This window comes from Homo sapiens, chromosome 17 (genome assembly GCF_000001405.40).
Source record: "Homo sapiens chromosome 17, GRCh38.p14 Primary Assembly".
NCBI lineage: Eukaryota > Metazoa > Chordata > Mammalia > Primates > Hominidae > Homo > Homo sapiens.
In genome coordinates, this window is record NC_000017.11 from 44617536 (window position 1) to 44635363 (window position 17828).

At 47.4% G+C, this 17828-nt stretch overlaps 2 annotated features.

Annotated features, from left to right (window-relative positions):
- Positions 10930–11049: a silencer, noted in NCBI's record as "silent region_8598". NCBI's record gives its function as "represses an Ori minimal core promoter by ATAC-STARR-seq in GM12878 lymphoblastoid cells {active_cell/tissue: GM12878}" and the evidence as "EXISTENCE:reporter gene assay evidence [ECO:0000049][PMID:35858748]".
- Positions 11160–11319: an enhancer, noted in NCBI's record as "active region_12264". NCBI's record gives its function as "activates an Ori minimal core promoter by ATAC-STARR-seq in GM12878 lymphoblastoid cells {active_cell/tissue: GM12878}" and the evidence as "EXISTENCE:reporter gene assay evidence [ECO:0000049][PMID:35858748]".

The following is a 17828-nucleotide window of genomic DNA, read 5'->3' on the forward strand; positions in this document are numbered from 1 at the left end:
TAACCCAGAAATAAACTCTCACATATATAGTTAAATTATTTTTGACAAGGGTGGCAAGACCATTCAATGGGGAAAGGATAGTCTTCTCAACAAGTGGAGTCGGAAAACTGAGTATCCACACACAAAAGAATGAAGTTGGACCCTTACACGTCATATACAAAATTTAACTAGAAATGGATCAAAGGGCCAGGCACAGAGGCTCATGCCTGTAATCCTAGCACTTTGGGAGGCCAAGGCCAGTGGATCACCTGAAGTCAGGAGCTCGAGATCAGCTTGGCCAACATGGCGAAACCCCCTCTCTACTAAAAATACAAAAATTAGTTGGGCATGGTGGTGCATGCCTGTAATCCCAGCTACTCAGGAGGCTGAGGCAGGAGAATTGCTTGAACCCGGGAGGCGGAGATTGCAGTGAGCTGAGATCGAGCCTTTGCACTACAGCAACCTGGGTAACAGAGCAAGGCTCCGTCTCAAAAAAAGAAAGAAATGGATCAAAGACCTAAATGTAAGCAGAAGCTTCACTTCACTGGATTTGGCAATGGTTTTTTGGTATGACGTTAAAGACACAGACAACAAAAGAAAACATTGTAAATTAGATGTTACATTATAAAAGTGTAAAATTTTTGTGCATTAAAAACAATATCAACGGAATAAGAAGGTAACCCACAGAATGAGAAAAATATTTGTACATCATATATCTGGTAGGGGATTAATAGCCACAATATATAGAGAACTCCTAAAACTCAACAACAAAAAAGCCCACCTGATTTAAAAATGGGCAAAGAAGCCGGGTGCAGTGGCTCACGCCTGTAATCCCAGCACTTTGGGAGGCCAAGATGGGCAGACCACAAGGTCAGGAGATCGAGACCAGCCTGGTCAACATGGTGACCTTGTGTCTACTAAAAATACAAAAATGAGCCAGGCTTGGTGGCATGTGCCTGTAATCCCAGCTACTCGGGAGGCTGAGGCAGGAGAATAGCTTGAACCCAGGAGGTGGAGGTTGCAGTGAGCCAAGATCGCACCACTGCACTCCAGCCTGGACAACAGAGCAACTCCATCTCAAAAAATAAAAAAATAAATAAAAATGGGCAAAGGAGTTGAAAAGATATTTCTCTCAAGAACATATACAAATGGCCAATAAACAAATGAAAAAATGTTTAACATCACTAATCATTAGGGAAATGCAAATCAAAACTATAATAGGTGGCCAGGTGTAGTGGCTCACAGCACTTTGGTATGCCAAGATGGGTAGATCGCTTGAGCCCAGAAGTTCGAGACCAGCCTGACCAACGTGGAATTACAGGTGTGAGCCACCACGCCCGGCCCCAAAATTAGTAGTGGTTTTTTGTTTGAGACAGTTTCGGTCTTGTCACCCAGGCTGGAGTGCAATGGTGCGATCTCAGCTCACCACAACCTCTGCCTCCCGGGTTCAAGCAATTCTCCTGCCTCAGCATCCCAAGTAGTTGGGATAACAGGCATGCACCACCACGCCCAGCTAATTTTGTATTTTTAGTAGAGACAGGGTTTCTCCATGTTGGTCAGGCTGGTCTCAAACTCCCAACCTTATGTGATCCGCCCGCCTGGGCTTCCCAAAGTGCTAGGATTACACACATGAGCCACTGTGCCCAGCAAGCTCTACTTCATCTTCTGAGGAACAAATGAGTTAATACATGTCAAACACTTAGAACAGTGCCACATATATAAACTTAATTTTTTTTTTTTTGGACAGTGTCTTGCTGTGTCACCAGGCTGGAGTGCAGTGGCCTGATCATGGCTCACTGTAGCCTCAACCCTTCCTGGCTCAAGCAATCCTCCTACCTCAATGTCCTGAGGAGCTGGGACTACAGGTGTGCACCACCACGCCTGGCTAATTTTATTTATTTATTTATTTAGAGATGGAGTCTTGCTCTGTCACCCAGTCTGGAGTGCAATGGCGTGACCTCGGCTCATTGCAACCTCCGCCTCCTAGGTTCAAGCGATTCTCCTGCCTTAGCTTCCTGAGTAGCTGGGATTGCAGGCGCCCACCACCACACCCGGCTAATTTTTGTATTTTTAGTAGAGACGGAGTTTCGCCATGTTGGCCAGGCTGGTCTGGAACTCCTGACCTCTTGGTCCACCCGCCCCAGCCACCCAAGATGCTGGGATTACAGGCATGAGCCACCGCGCCCAGCCAATTTTTTTTTTTATTTTGAGTAGAGACGAGGTCTTGCTATGTTGCCCAGGCTGCTCTCAAACTCCTGGCCTCAAGCAGTCCTCCCACCTCAGCATCCCACGGTGCTAGGATTATGGGTGTGAGCCACTGCGCTCAGCGATAGCTTAATAATTATTATTACCATTTGTTTCAGTTATCTATTCCTGCATAACAAAGTACCCCAAAATTTAGTAGCTTAAAACAACAATTGTTTTATTATATCTCACGATTTTATGTGTCAGGAATTTGGGCAGGGCTTGGCTGGGGAGATTCTTCCGCTCCACACTCCACAAGGTGTTGATAAGGACATTTGATGATATTCAGCTGGCAGATGGGCTGGTCAGGAGAATTCAAAACAGTTTCACCTACATGTCTATTGTATTGGTGAGCATGGCTAAAGTTAGAACTATTGGCCGGGCGTGGTGGCTCATGCCTGTAATCCCAGCACTTTGGGAGGCCGAGGTGGGTGGATCACCTGAGGGCGGGAGTTCAAGACCAGCCTGACCAACATGGAGAAACCCCATCTCTACTAAAAATACAAAATTAGCCAGGCATGGTGGCACGCGCCTGTAATCCCAGCTACTTCGGGGGCTGAGTCAGGAGAATCGCTTGGACCCAGGAGGCAGAGGTTGCAGTGAGCCGAGATCGTGCCATTACACTCCAGCCTGGGCAACAAGAGTGAAACTCTGTCTCAAAAAAAAAAAAAGTTAGAACTATTAACTCAACTAGAACTATTAAACAGAACACCTCCATATGACCTCTTTAGCATAGTGAACTCAGAATAGTCTGACTTCTTACATGACAGCTCAGGCAGCTCAAAGGGCACGGGTTTGAGCGTTACAAGGACCAAGGTTGAGGCTGCATGAGCTTTTTTTTTTTTTTTTCTCCCTGTAGCCTCAACCTCCCAGGCTCAAGCAATTTTCCCCCTTCACCTCCTGAGTAGCTGGGATTATAGGTGGGCACCACCACGTCCAGCTAATTTTTTAATTTTTATAGAAACAGGGTCTCCCTATGTTGCCTAAGCTGGTCTCAAATTTTTTTTTCTTTAGAGACAGGGTCTTGCTCTGTCTTCCAGGCTAGAGAGCAGTGGTGAAATCAAAGCTCACTGCAGCTTCAGACTCTGGGCTCAAGCGAGCCTCCCAACTTAGCCTCCTGAGTAGCTGGGACTACAGGCATGCGTCACCACACCCAGCTGATTAAAACAATTTTGATAGAGACAGGGTCTTGCTATTTTGCCCCAGCTAGTCTTGAACTCCTGGATTCAAGCAATCCTCCCGCCTCGACCTCCCAAAATGGTAGGATCACAGGCACGAGCCACTGCACCTGGCCCTGCAAAGGCTTTTATAACCTAGACTTGGATGTCACATAGAGTCACTGCCACCATATTCAGTTGGTCAAAGTAGTCCAGATTCAAGGCAAGGAGACACAGACCTTACCTCTGAATAGGAGGAGTGTCAAAGAATTTGAAGTTATACATTAAACCCTCCTCACTTTTTGACCCCCAAAAGAAGTTTCCCGGAGGGATGAACTCCAGAGGGATGTCGATGGAACAGTCTATCCTTCTTTCTCTGACAAGGAATTAGGATTATATCTCCTGTGATTTAGAGGCAACCATTTCACACCCTTCCCTGGAGGTGTGCGGGTATAGCCTCACCCATATCCATCCACATGCACACACACAGGTATTCACACAGGCAGATCTGGTACATCTGTGTAGCCAGCCCTCTCTCCATTTCTATCCGTTTTTCAGGTCAAGGAGACCCAAAGTCCTGCCCTAGAGTTTTTCCTGGGAAGTTAATTAACTGACCATTCCTGCTCCCACTAGTGTGAACAGGGGGTGTCGGTAGGGATGAAACCCAGTCAGTCACTGACTGGGGAGTCTGACTTTGATGTGTTCTCTGGGGTGTGCATGCACGTGTGTGCATAAATGCCTCCTGGTTCTGACTGGCTCGAGTCAGTATAGAAGTAAGTTCTGGTGCTAAGAGCAGGCTGGATGGCTCACACACATTCTATAAATCCAAGGAAGCCAAAGTGAGATCCAAATTCTGCAGGGGTCAGCCCAAATCCTCCATCTAACCAGCCCTGCCACACTCTTCCCCATACTCATCCTCTGTCCCATGCGTACTCACCGCTCCCTGATCATGCCACATTCTTCCATTCTTCTGCAGCTTTGCCCATACTGTTCTCTCTGCATGGAATGCCCTTGCCCCCTCTTTTTCCTGACAACCCTAGTGTCTGCCTTTTGTATCACATGATATTGCAATGATCTGTATATATTATTATTATTATTATTTTAGACAGAGTCTCACTCTGTTGCCAGGCTAGAGTGCAGTGGTGTGATCTCTGTTCACGGCAACCTCCGCCTCCTGGGTTCGAGCAATTCTCCTGCCTCAGCCTCCCGAGTAGCTGGGATTACAGGCATGTGACATCACACCTGGCTAATTTTTGTATTTTTAGTAGAGACAGGGTTTCGCCATGTGGGTGAGGCTGATCTCGACCCCTTGACCTCAGATAATCCGCCTGCCTGGGCCTCCCAAAGTGCTAGGATTACAGGCGTAAACCACCATGCCCGGCGATCTGTATATATTAATAGCTCCACTTTCCTCAAGAGCAGAGACCATGCTCTACTCATTGCCATATCACTAGTGCTTGGCACACAATAATTTTCAACAAACACTGGTTGAACTAATGATTGAATGAACAGCTATTGCTCCCAGATTCAGCAACTATTTCTCCTCCATGTCTTTGCTCTGTCCAACTCCACCCCAATTCCCCGGGCTGCTATGAGAAGGGGCAAGGGTCCCAAAGGCTAGAGTGTAAAGTTTGGGCTGCATTCTTGAGGCCCCAGGGAGATTCTGCAGAGTCTCCGAAAACAGGGAAGGATTCCATGTTGTAGAGGTGGGCCCAGCAGGCCCACAGGCCCTCACACCCATAGTGGGAAAAGCCAGAGAATTCTGCAGGGTTTTTCTAATGTTGGGGAGGATGTCTCAAAGTCCGAAATAGCCTGTAAACATTGGGTTAAGTGTTAGGGTCTGCTGGGAATACTTAGACTGGGACTGAGCCAGTACCCTGCTGGAAGAAAATAATTCTGGCTGCTGAGGTGGGGGCAGGTGCAGTTGAAAAAAGCAGTCCTCAAGATCAGTGCTCCTGGCTGGGCGTGGTGGCTCACGCCTGTAATCCCAGCACTTTGGGAGGCCGAGGGGGGCAGATCACTTGAGGTCAGGAGTTCAAGACCAGCCTGGCCAACATGGTAAAACCCCATCTCTACTAAAAATACAAAAATTAGCCAGGTGAGGTGGCTTACACCTGTAATCCCAGCTACTCTCCTGAGGCAGGGGAATCACTTGAACCTGGGAGGCGGAGTTGGCAGTCAGCCGAGGTTGCACCACTGCACTCCAGCCTGGGTGACAGAGCAAAACTCCATCTGAAAAAAAATGAAATAAAAGATCAGTGCTCCTCACACTTGAATGTGCAAATTCCCTGGGAATCTTGTTAAAATGCAACTTCTGATTCAGAAGGTATGAGGTCAGCCCCAAGATCCTGCTTTTCTAACAAGCTCCCAGGTGATGGCACTGTTGGAAGGGTAGAGGAGGGGCCAGAACGCAGTTGGAATCACACTTTGAGTAGCAAAGACCTAGAAAACTAGCATTATGATCCAGACGCTGAGGATTCAGCCCTTAAAGGGAGTAGCTGCCATCAGCAACATCAGTAAGGTGTTCAGAAGATGATGCAGGAGACAATACACAAAGCAAGCCTGACAAAAATCTGGCCCGCGTGCCTACCCTTCCATTCTTTGATTCTGTGACCATGGCAGACATCACTAGTGGATCCCAGCACTATCTCCCACTAAGCCAAAAGGATGCTTCAGAATCCATCTCACCACAGTACTCCAGGTAGTCACCCAATTAATTACAGTTGGCATGAGAAATAACCCCACTTGCTATTTCTGGTATTGTGGTTAAGAGTCTGACTACTTTTGCTCCACTCTGGCTAGTTTGATGCCCTTACAGCAGCTTTCATGAACATCAGTTATTTAAATATGTTGTAATTTGAGGTAAAGAGAGCCCTCATTTTGTAGTTTTGGATGTTAAATGAGGCTGGGTGTGGTGGCTCGTGCCTGTAATCCCAGCACTTTGGGAGGCCAAGGCAGGAGGATTGCTTGAGCCCAGGGGTTTGAGACTAGCCTGGGCAACATAACAAGACCCCAACTCTACAAAAAAATTTTAAAAATTAGCCGGGTTTGGTGGTACACGCCTGTAGTCCCAGCTACTTGGGAGGCTGAGGCACAAGGATCTCTTGAGCTCAGGAGTTCAAGGCTGCAGTGAGCTATGATCACGCCACTGTATCCAGCCTGGGTGATGGAGTGAGATCTCGTCTCAATTAAAACAACAACAACAAAGAACATTAAATGATATTATGAATGTTAAGTGTCTGGCACATAGAATGTGCAGATATTCAATAAATGGTGGCTAGGCCTGTCACGGTGGCTCACGCCTGTAATCCCAGCACTTTGGGAGGCTGAGGAGTGCGGATCACTTGAGGTCAGGAGTTTAAGACCAGCCTGGCCAACATGGCAAAACCCCAACTCTACTAAAAATACAAAAAATTAGCTGGGTGTGGTGGTGTGCATCTGTAATCCCAGTTACTCGGGAGGCTGAGGCAGGAGAATCACTTGAACCCGGGAGGCAGAGGTTGCAGTGAGCCAAGCTCCTGTCACTGCACTCTGGCCTGGGCAACAGAGCCAAACTCTGTCTCAAAAATAAATAAAATAAAATAAAATAAAATAAAATAAATGGTGACTACCATGTAGAGGGGTGAATATATTGCCTGCACAGTTTGACAGGACATGGTGGTGGAATGGGAAAGAGGAAGAGAGGGAGACAGGAGCCAGAGTGCTGGGGTGGAGAAGAATAGGTGACAAAGGCTATTCCTGCCTGAGACTGTGGGCAGATTCCCAGCTCTCTTTGGTTGGCCCTGGGCTCCCTACTGACACTAAAGCTCTTTGAAAGAGGTGAGTGGCACTTGTCATCTTGAAATACCTGAGTACAGAACTTCTTTTCAAGGAGAGTTGTGAAAGACTCCAATATGGTCAAAAAGATTATTGTCTGTCCTTGTGTGTTATTTTCTAGTTTTATGGTCATCGAGCTATTTTACCACCCAATCAATGGAAATAATTCTTGTCCATAGAAATGCAAATTGCCTGGTGCATATGCAATTGATTATTGCTCAGTGGTTATTGACCAATTTAGCATCTATTAAGCAGATTTACTTCATCTTTTTTTTTTTTTCTGAGACAGCTCTGTTGCCCAGGCTGGAGTACAGTGGTGTGATCATGGCTCACTGCATCTTCAGCTTCCCGTGCTCAAGTGATCCTCTTGCCTCAGCCTTCTGAGTAGCTGGGACTACAGGTGTGCATCACCATCCTTAATTTTTTAAAATTATTTTTTGTAGATAAAATTTTTTGTAGATTATTTTTTGGATCTCATCATGTTGCCCAGGCTGGTCTTGAACTCCTGGGCTCAAGTGATCCTCCTACCTTGGTCTGTCAAAGTGCTGGCATTACAGATGTGAGCCACTGTGCCGTGCCTACTTAATCACTCTTTTTGTTTGGTTTGTTTTGTTCTAAGACGGGGTCTTGCTCTGTCACCCAGGCTGGAGTGCAGAGGCATGATCTTAGCTCACTGCAGCCTCAATCTCCTGAGTAGCTGGGACTACAGGTGCACATCACCATGCCTGACTAATTTTTTAAATTTTTGGAAGAGACAGGGTCTCACTATGTTGCCCAGGTTGCTACTTCATCATTCTTTTTTTTTTTTTTTTTCTTTTTTTTGAGACAGAGTCTCACTCCGTTCACCCAGGCTGGAGTGCAATGGTGCGAACGTGGCTCACTGCAACCTCCGCCTCCCAGGCTCAAGTGATTCTTATCCCTCTGACTCCCTAGTAGTTGGGATTACAGGCATGCACCCCCATGCCTGGCTAATTTTTGTATTTTTAGTAGAGACAGTGTTTTGCCATGTTGGCCAGGCTGGTCTTGAACTCCTAGCCTCAAGTGATCCACCTGCCTCAGCCTCCCAAAGTGCTGGGATTACAGGTGTGAGCCACAACGCCCAGCCTATTTCATCATTCTGGATGGCCTAAATACGTCTCTGCTCTTTGGATCGTCCTTTGAACTGACTGTAACATCTTACTGGTTCCTTCACTAATTAATGAGTTAAATAAAAATTTTGACACGATTATTGTATATTTCTATGAGAGTAATTATTTTGCTTTGTAAAAAAAACCTTTTTTTTTGACATTCTCATTAACAATGAAGATTGGGCAGGAGGTTTCCAAGACCCTCTGCCCCGGACAAGCTTTTCCACAGGCTCCAATCGCCATTACATCTGTCAGGTTGTTTTTTTTGTTTTGTTTTGTTTTTGAGACGGAGTCTTGCTCTGTCTCCAGGCTGGAGTGCAGTAGCACGATCTTGGCTCACTGCAACCTCCGCCTCCCAGGTTCAAACGATTCTCCTGCCTCAGCCTCCAGAGTAGCTTGGACTATAGGTGCACGCCACCATACCCAGATCATTTTTGTATTTTTAGTAGAGACAAAGTTTCACCATGTTGGTCAGGATGGTCTTAATCTCTTGACCTCATGATCTGCCCGTCTTGGCCTCCCAAAGTGCTGGGATTACAGGCATGAGCCACCACGTCCGGCTCATCTGTCAGGTTTATAGGGGATTACCCCCACTTCATTGCTTGTTTTATGCCATCCAAATAGATACATAATTATTCAATATTTGAGCTGGACACATTCTCAAACATTTATATGAGTTTGTTTAACAAAACATATAACAAACCTACAAGTACCACACCAAATACTTATCCATGTATTCATTCAATGATAGGAAGTTGCATGTGGCAGGGACTGCATTTGTGCCTCTTTTGAGCTTAGCAAGTGCCTAACTCATGGTAAGTACTAAAGACACATCCACTGAGCCAACACATGAATGAATAAGCCCAGCAAGACTTTACTAAGTGTTTACTATGTGGTGAACATTGTTTTAAACACTTTATTTAATTTAATCCTCAAACTAGTTACATGGTAGGTACAATTAATTACTATCCTCATTTACACATAATACAGAGAGGTGAATGAACTTGCTCAAGGTCAACAGCTAGCCATGGCTGAGGCAGAATTCAAGCCCTGGTAGCCTGGCTCCTGAGCCTATGATCTTGGGCACCCATATGCGCCAGGCATCTTGCTAGGTTCTGATATACAGAGATAAAAGACACACCAAACACAGACTTTCCTTAAGGAGGTCACACTGAAGAAAGGCAACAAATAACTAAAAAGAATGTGACGTGCTCTGGCAAGTGAGAACACGATGCTAGGGACAGAGGGTGTCAGAGGGTTGGACAGGTGTGGTTGACGGCAGAGGGGCCACCTGACCTGAGGCAAGTTCTGAGGCTACTGGTAGTTAATGTTCAGATCAGAGGAAGGGAAGAGCATTCAGGCCACTGGTATGGTTGGTCTGAGAAGGTGAGAGTCCCGAGGCCGGAGCCCAGAAGTGCAGAGAAGTGAAACTGGAGAGAGGAGCCAGGTCCAGATCCTGGAAAGCTTCACTTGCTGAGGGAGGAAGGGTGTTGGGATACCCCTTGGAGGCCTCGCAGGACTGTTCGCAAGGGAGATATGAACTCAGATGCCACACTCCACCTGCCCTGCCCAGGACACGAAACCCAGTACACAGAATTCCCTACAAGCTGTATCCCACTCGGGAGAGTTCCCCGGGAGGGCTAGACAGGAGGGCAGTGCTAACTGAGTGTGGGACACAGCCAGTGCCACCTGGGAGCCATGGCTGGGAGTCTCTCTCCAAGCCCTCCCCCACAATCCCTTCAGTCACCCCCCACCCACCCTTGCCAGCTCAGACACTCAGGCACACTCCCTCCGGTCACATCCCCCTTGAGGCCAGAGATAAGAATAAGCAACATGTCTCTTCCCACATCCCTTCCCTGCCCGCCCTCTGATTCTACCATCCAAAGCAGCTGCAGAGCCTGGAACACCCCAGGCCCCAGTCAGAGGAGGGAGCATGGGGAGATGGGAGCTTCCTGGGGGGGCCGTGGCTATGGGCTGTGCCCTCCCCTCCCACAGGGCTGAGGCTGGTGATTAGTTGGGTTAATTATATCCGAGCCATTTCCGATTGGCACAAGCCCACCCACCCACAGAGCCTGCCCAGAAGGCAGGCAGGCCGGGCCCAGGTCAGGATGCTGGGGCACCAGCTCCTCTAGGTGGATTCCTGACCCCTGTGCTGATGGCCAAACGGAGGCTGATTGTCCTCCCTGCTCCAGGACGGCCTCCTCTTCACTCACCAACTTTCTTACCCATCCCTCTGTTTTCTTTGTACCAACACAAGTCCCTCTCACTCCCCTCTCCTCCCCCCAGGTTTGGAATGAAATCATGGGGCCCTGAGTTCCGCAGTAGGCCCTGACATAAACACTTTGATTGGGGCTAATTATAAGGGCCAGGCTGAGAGGCTGGAGCCTTCGGAAAGCTTTGGCTTTCAAATAAAGGGCCCACGGCTCAGTCCCTAGCCCAGGCGGCTCTCTTCCAGGCTTCCTTATGAATGAGGGGTTCCAGAAAGAGGCAGTCCTCTAGAAACCCCGTGGTCTGTGGGCTCGCTCCATGTCCCACGCCTCATCTTGTCCCTTCTCGGTTGCTTTTGCCTTGGCCCTTCCAGGCCTCAGATCCCAGGGCCTTGCCGGATGGCTTGGCAGAGCCACCAGTCGGCCGTGGAAGACAAGGCAGCAGGGGAGGAGCTCTCAGGCTGGGAGGCAGGGGCAGCGGCAGGGGCAGGGTCAGGGGAGGCGCAGGGGAAGCCAGCTGTGACAGCCCAAGCCCTAATTAGTCGGCTTCAAAGCCGGCCGGAGAGAGAGCCCGCCTGCTTGTGTGCCCTGCTCACTCAGGCGAGTAAGACATTTCTGTCCCAATCAGAGGAGAGAGAGAAAGAAAAACACGGCCCACCGCCACCCCGAAGAGCCTTTAGACACTGGGCTGGTACCCCGAGTCAGGGAGAAAAACTGAGAACCCAGGAAATCATTCTCTTCTGTTGAAACTGATACGTAAGTGCTAGGAAGGGAAGTGTGTGGTGCCTTTAAATGATACAGAAAGGGGTAACGGAAGTGCTGGGTACAGGAGGGCGTAGTCCTTGGCTAGGGCTCCACCCCCACGGACCTAGGTGAGGACAGGCATTTTTGTTTTCCTGCCCAAATGTTGCGTTTCCCAAGTCCACCCTGTCCTGCCACGCCCCCATCCTGTGCCTATAAAAACCCGAGATCTACCCCCCCCAAGGAAAGCCAAGCCAAGCCGCTGGATGTTGAGGAGGAGCACGTCAGCGGAGGCACACACATTGGCTAGGCGTTGAGAGGAACGCACTGATAGGCACCGGCATGCTGGCAGGCCACTGATCAGGCAGAGCAACACAGAGTTTGGCTGAGGCAGTCAGAGGAGAGCGCGGGCCACCGAGCGGCCTGATTCCTAGGCGACAACCATTTACCTTCTGGCTGTCCCATATTCTGAGAGCGACTTCCACTCAATAAAACCTTGCACTCATACTCCAAGCCCACATGTGATCCGATTCTGGTACACCAAGGGAAGAACCCCGGGATACAGAAAGCCCTCTGTTCTCGGTCTCTGCGCCAAGGAAGAAGTCTAATTGAGCTGGTAAGACAAGCCACTTATCGACAGCAAAGCTGAAAGAGCACCCTGTAACACGCGCCCACTGGGGCGCCAGGAGCTGTAAGCATTCACTCTTAGACACTGCGGTAGGGCCGGAGCCCCACAGCCTGCCTGTCTGTATGTCTCCCCTAGAAGTTTGAGCAGCGGGGCACTGAAGAAGCGAGCCACACCCCTATCGTATGCCCTGCAAGGGGGACAAGGGAACTCTTCCCATTTCACTAGCACTTTGGGAGGCCATGACAGGAGGATCACTTGAGGTTAGGAGTTAGAGGCCAGCCTGGGCAACATGGTGAAACCCCATCGCTACAAAAAATACAGAAAAAATTAGCCGGCCATGGCACACGTCTGTAGTCTCAGCTACTCAGGAGGCTGAGGTGGGAGAACACCTGAGCTCAGGAAGTCCAGGCTGCAGTGAGCAGTGGTCAGGCCAGTGCATTTCATCCTGGGCAATGGAGTGAGACCCTGTCCAAAAAAAATTTTTTAAAAAAGTTGTTTTGGTAGAGACAGGGCTTTCTCCATGTTGCCCAGGCTGGTCTCAAACTCCTGACCTCAAGCCATCCTCCCCTCTCAGCTTCCCAAAGCACTGGGGTTACAGGCATGAGCCACGGTGCCTAGCTAACAGTTTTCTAATCTTGGAGAAGGAGGAAACTGGACATAATTATTTCTAAGCATCCTTCTAGCATTTAGTTTTCTTGCTCATCGTCCCAGTGCTCCATATCCCCACCACTACCCCACTCCCAAACATACTCATATGTAGCACCAGGGGCTGGGTTCCTGCATGCAAGTCATCTAAAAGTGACGCTATTGACTGAATGACTGTGACCTAGGAGGCTGGGCTGATAAGGATCACCTAACAAAAACCAGTTACTGATGTTAGTGCTTACACTAACATCCCCTTGAAGGAAAAGTCTTAAAGCCATTTTATAAATTGTCAACCTATTTGCCCTAATGTGGTCATTTTCATCACTTATTACCCTCCTCAAAGTCTTTATTATGCAGCTAAATTACAATAATGGTTTAATAGTTTTTGGCAAACTGGAACCATGATGTCACAAAAGCCATACAAGTAGGTAGTAAAGATGTTATAAATTCCTCCCCCTTTTTTAAAGCAGATAAGAAAAAAAAATTTTTTTTGAGACAGGGTCTTGTTATGTTGCCCAGGCTGGAGTGCAGTGGTGCGATCTCAGCTCACTGCAACCTCTGCCCCCCAGGCTCAAGCCATCCTCCCACCTCAGCCTCCTGAGTGAGTAGCTGGGACTGCAGGTGCACACCACCACACCCCGTTAATTTTTGTATTTTTTGTAAAGAAGGGGGCTCGCCATGTTGCCTAGGCTGGTCTCAAACTCCTGAGCTCAAGCAATCTGACCACTTCATCCCCACAAAGTGCTGAATTACAAGCGTGAGCCACCACGCCCTACAAGGGCCAAATGTCCAGTGGCAAGGCCATAAGAGCTGCTAAGTGACATTGCTTCATCATGAACTCATGCCCTCTAATTCCACATCCAGGGCCTCTGTCCTCTGAGAACACACATCCAGGACCATACCATCCCAGAGGTGACCTGTCTTTGCAGCTGTGAAGGGGAGCTAGAGCTGGGTGTGCCCAACTGATTAGGATTTGCTGAAACAATCCAACCCTTCTTCCATACTTAAAATCCCATCTGGTCTTCGTCCCATATATTTTCCTTTCCGTTTTAAAATGTGAGTCTCTTCTGAGGGAAAGCCAATCCATGTGTTTCTGATTCATTTAAACTTAATTTCTCCAAATAGCACTCTCTAACATCCCTGAATTTCATACATTTTTAGAAGACAGGAAATAGGAAGAGGCCAAGTATGGGCAGATTGGGAAGAGATGGAGCTCCCAGGCACTCACTGGGATTCTCTTCCTTAGGAAAATAATGTCTCCCATCCTTACAGTGGAGGCTGAGCCTGGATTCAATTCCATATTCTTGCTCCAGCTCTAGCTAAGGTGACAGTTATAACACGTGGGCCAGACAGTATGGGACTCCATCCGGCACACTTTTTTTTTTTTTTTTTTTTTTTTTTGGTGACGGGGTCTCCTCTGTTGCCTAGGCCAGACTGCAGTGGGGCAATCCCAGCTCACTGCAGCCTCGACTTCCCTGGCTCAAGTAACTGGGCTTAAGTGATCCTCCCACCTCAGCCTCTCGAGTAGCTAGGACCACAGATGCATGCCTAACGCCCAGCTAATTTTTTGTTATTTTTTGTAGAGACAGGGTCTCCCTATGTTGCCCAAGCTGGTCTTGAACTCCTGGACTCAAGGGATGCTCCCTACGTGGCCTCTCAAAGTGCTGGGATTACAGGCATGAGCCACCGTGCCAGCCCAACGTGGTTTACTATCTAGAACATAGTAAAGCGAGGAATTAACTTGATCCTTGATAGCTTGGCCAGGGCAGGAAGTAAGGTCACCTGTGAGAGAAGCAATGATTCTGTGGTGCTTCTTGAGTATCTCCATCATATACCTCAGCAGGAGGGCTTGGATGCTCCCTCTAGGCAAACATGACTATGACAATGAAGTAAAAACAAACCTGGATAACATGATGGGTGGGCTTTGATGGAGAAAGTATATGGAGGCAATATAGCATGTTAGAAAGTGCTGTGTAGTCAGACAAAACTGGGTTCAAAGCTTGGCTCTGACAATTAAGCCCAGGGACTTTAGGCAAGTCACTTAACCTCTGTGAATATCATCAGTAAGCTTCCGCTGCATGAGATTGTTATAAGAATTAAATAAAACCATTTGTAGGGTATGACAATTAATAGGCACTTAAATAAATGGCAACCAGTAGTGTCATATTATCTGAAAGTAAGATACAGTGTGTTGAAATTTCTTAATTCAACTCCCACTTAAATCATGCCCCAGACAGTCTCCTGACACGCTGATGAGGGTCTAATATGGAAATTTTGAAAGAAATCAATCAACAATAATTTGATGGGCATGTGATGGTACAAAGCCAGTGCCAGATGCTATGGATGGGTGGGCAGGGGAAAAGAAAAAAAAGTAGAGGGTTTGCAAGATTGTTCAAGGCTAGACACAGTGTCTCACACCTGTAATCCCAGCACTTTGGGAGGCTGAGGCAGAAGGATTGCTTGAGTCCAGGAGTTTGAGACCAGCCTGGGCAACATAGTGAGACCTCATCTCTACTAAAAATAAAAATAAAAAATTAGCTAGGCATGGTGGCATGCACCTGTAGTCCCAGCTGCTTGGGAGGTTAAGGCAGGAGGATTGATTGAGCCCGGGAGGTGGAGGCTGCAGTGAGCCTCGATTGCACCATTGCACTCCAGCCTGGGTGACAGAGAGATACCCTGTCTCAAAAACAAACAAAAAACATTAACAACAACAAAAACAAGGTTGTTCAAGAGACAACAGAAGTCATAGACACTTGAGAAGAATCACAAAGCAATTTAGCAGCAAATTTTCAGAATCCAAATTGAGTCTTGGGCTACTGGGGATGTAGAATCATGCTTGGAGGATGCAGACACCCTGCCGGAGGACGATCTAAATCTGGAAAACCTGTATGATTCTGAACTGGGACTTGATTTTTAAGCTTCCTTAATACCTGGTAAACCTGAAGCTTGGGATTTTATAACAAGTTTATTTTTTATGTGTTAAAAATGTGTGGAGAGGGTGAAATGGGAAAAACTGCCTAATGAATATAGAGTTTTGTTTTGGGGCGATGAAATGTTTTGGAACTAGATGGAGGTGATGGTTACATGACATTGTGAATGTGCTAAATATCACTGAATTGTTCACTTTAAAATGGTTAACTTTATGCTACAATTTCACCTCAATTTAAAAATTCATAGAAATTTAGAAATAGGCCAGGTGTGGTGGCTCACACCTGTAATCCCATCACTTTGGGAGGCTGAGGTGGGCGGATCACATGAGGCCAAGAATTTGAGACCAGCCTGGCCAACATGGCGAAACCCTGTCTCTACTAAAAATATAGAAATTAGTTGGGTGTGGTGGCGCATGCCTGTAGTCCCAGCTACTTTGAAGGCTGAGACAGGAGAATAGCTTGAACCCAGGAGGCACAGGTTGCAGTGAGCTGAGATGGCGCCACTACACTCCTGCCTAGGCGACAGAAAGAGACTTGGTCTCAAAAAAAAAGAAGTAAAAATAAAATTTTAAAAAAGCTATTTGGCTTGGCACAGTGGCTTACGCCTGTAATCCCAGCCCTTTGGGAGGCCAAAGTGGGCAGATCACTTGAGGTCAGGAGTTCGAGACCAGCCTGGCCAACATGGCGAAACACTGTCTCTACCAAAAAATAGAAAAGTTAGCTGGGCGTGGTGACGTGCGTCTGTAATCCCCGTTACTCGGGAGGCTGAGGCAGAAGAATCGCTTGAACCTGGGAGATGGAGGTTGCGGTGAGCCGAAATCACGCCACTGCACTCCAGCTTGGGTGACAGAGTGAGAGCCTGTCTCAAACAAACAAACAATTTTTAAAGGAGTACCCCTACCAGATATTAGAAATTTTTTTAACCTATGCAAATTAAAGCAATATGAGATTGGTACAGAAATAGGAAAGGAAAGAATGGAGTCCAGAGGCAGATTTAAATATATATGGGGATTTTTTTGTTTGTTTCTTTTTATTTTTTTTTTATATGGGGATTTAGTATATGCTAACGAAGACCGTTAAAATCAGCAGGGAGGCCAGGCATGGTAATCCCTGCACTTTGGGAGGCTCGGTCGATTGGATTGCTTGAGCCCAGGAGTTTGAGACAAGCCTGGGCAACGTGGTGAGACCCTGTCTCTACAAAAAAATACAAAAACTAGCCAGGTGTGGTAGCATGTGCTTGTGCTCCTAGCTACTCAGGAGGTTGAAGTGGGAGGATGGCTTGAGTCTGGGAGGTGGAGGCTGCAGTGAGCTGAGATCGCGCCATTGCCACTGTACTCCAGCCTGGGCGACAGAGGAAGACTGTCTCAAAAAAGAAAAAAAGCAAAAAGAAAGAAAATGAAAAGAAAATAAGAATGGATAATTTAGAAAGGAATTCTGAGTGGTCAATAGACATATGAAAATATGTTTAACCTCATTAGTAATCCAGAAAAACGATACAAATAAAACTAACAATGATATTGTTTCTATTGCTTTTTTTTTGAGGCAGAGTCTCACTCCATCACCCAGTCGGAGTGCAATGGCGCCATCTCAGCTCACTGCAGCCTCTGCCTCCTGGGTTCAAACAATTCTCCTGCCTCAGCCTCCTGAGTAGCTGGAATTACAGGCATATGCCACCACACCCAGCTAATTTCTGTATTTTTAGTAAAGCAGGGTTTCGCCACATTGGCCAGGCTGGTCTTGAACTCCTGACTCCAGATGATCTGCCTGCCTCAGCCTCCCAAAGTGCTGGGATCACAGGAGTCAGCCACCACACCTGGCCTATGTTTCTATTGCTTAACAGATTGATAAAGAAACAACCCTCTCTGACCTTCTAGTGAAGGTATAAAATTGTATAACTTTCCTAGAGGGCAATTTTGTCTCATGAATCAACATTTTTTTGTTTGTTTTTTGAGACTGAGTCTAGCTTTGTCGCCCAGGCTGGAGTGCAGTGGCGCGATCTTGGCTCACTGCAACCTCTGCCTCCTGGGTTCCAGCAATTCACCCACCTCAGCCTCCCGAGTAGCTGGGACTACAGGTGCTTGCCACCATGTCCAGCTAATTTTTGAATTTTTAGTAGTGACGGGGTTTCACCATGTTGGCCAGGTTGGTCTCGAACTCTTGACCTCAGGTGATCTGCCCGCCTTGGCCTCCCAAAGTGCTGGGATTACAGACATGAGCCACCACACCCAGCCTCATGTATCAACATTTTAAATGAGTTTACCCTTCAACCCAGAAATCCCACTATTACAACTATTATAACTCTATTATAACTTTATCATTCAGAGTTAATAAGACAAGTAAACAAAAATAATAAG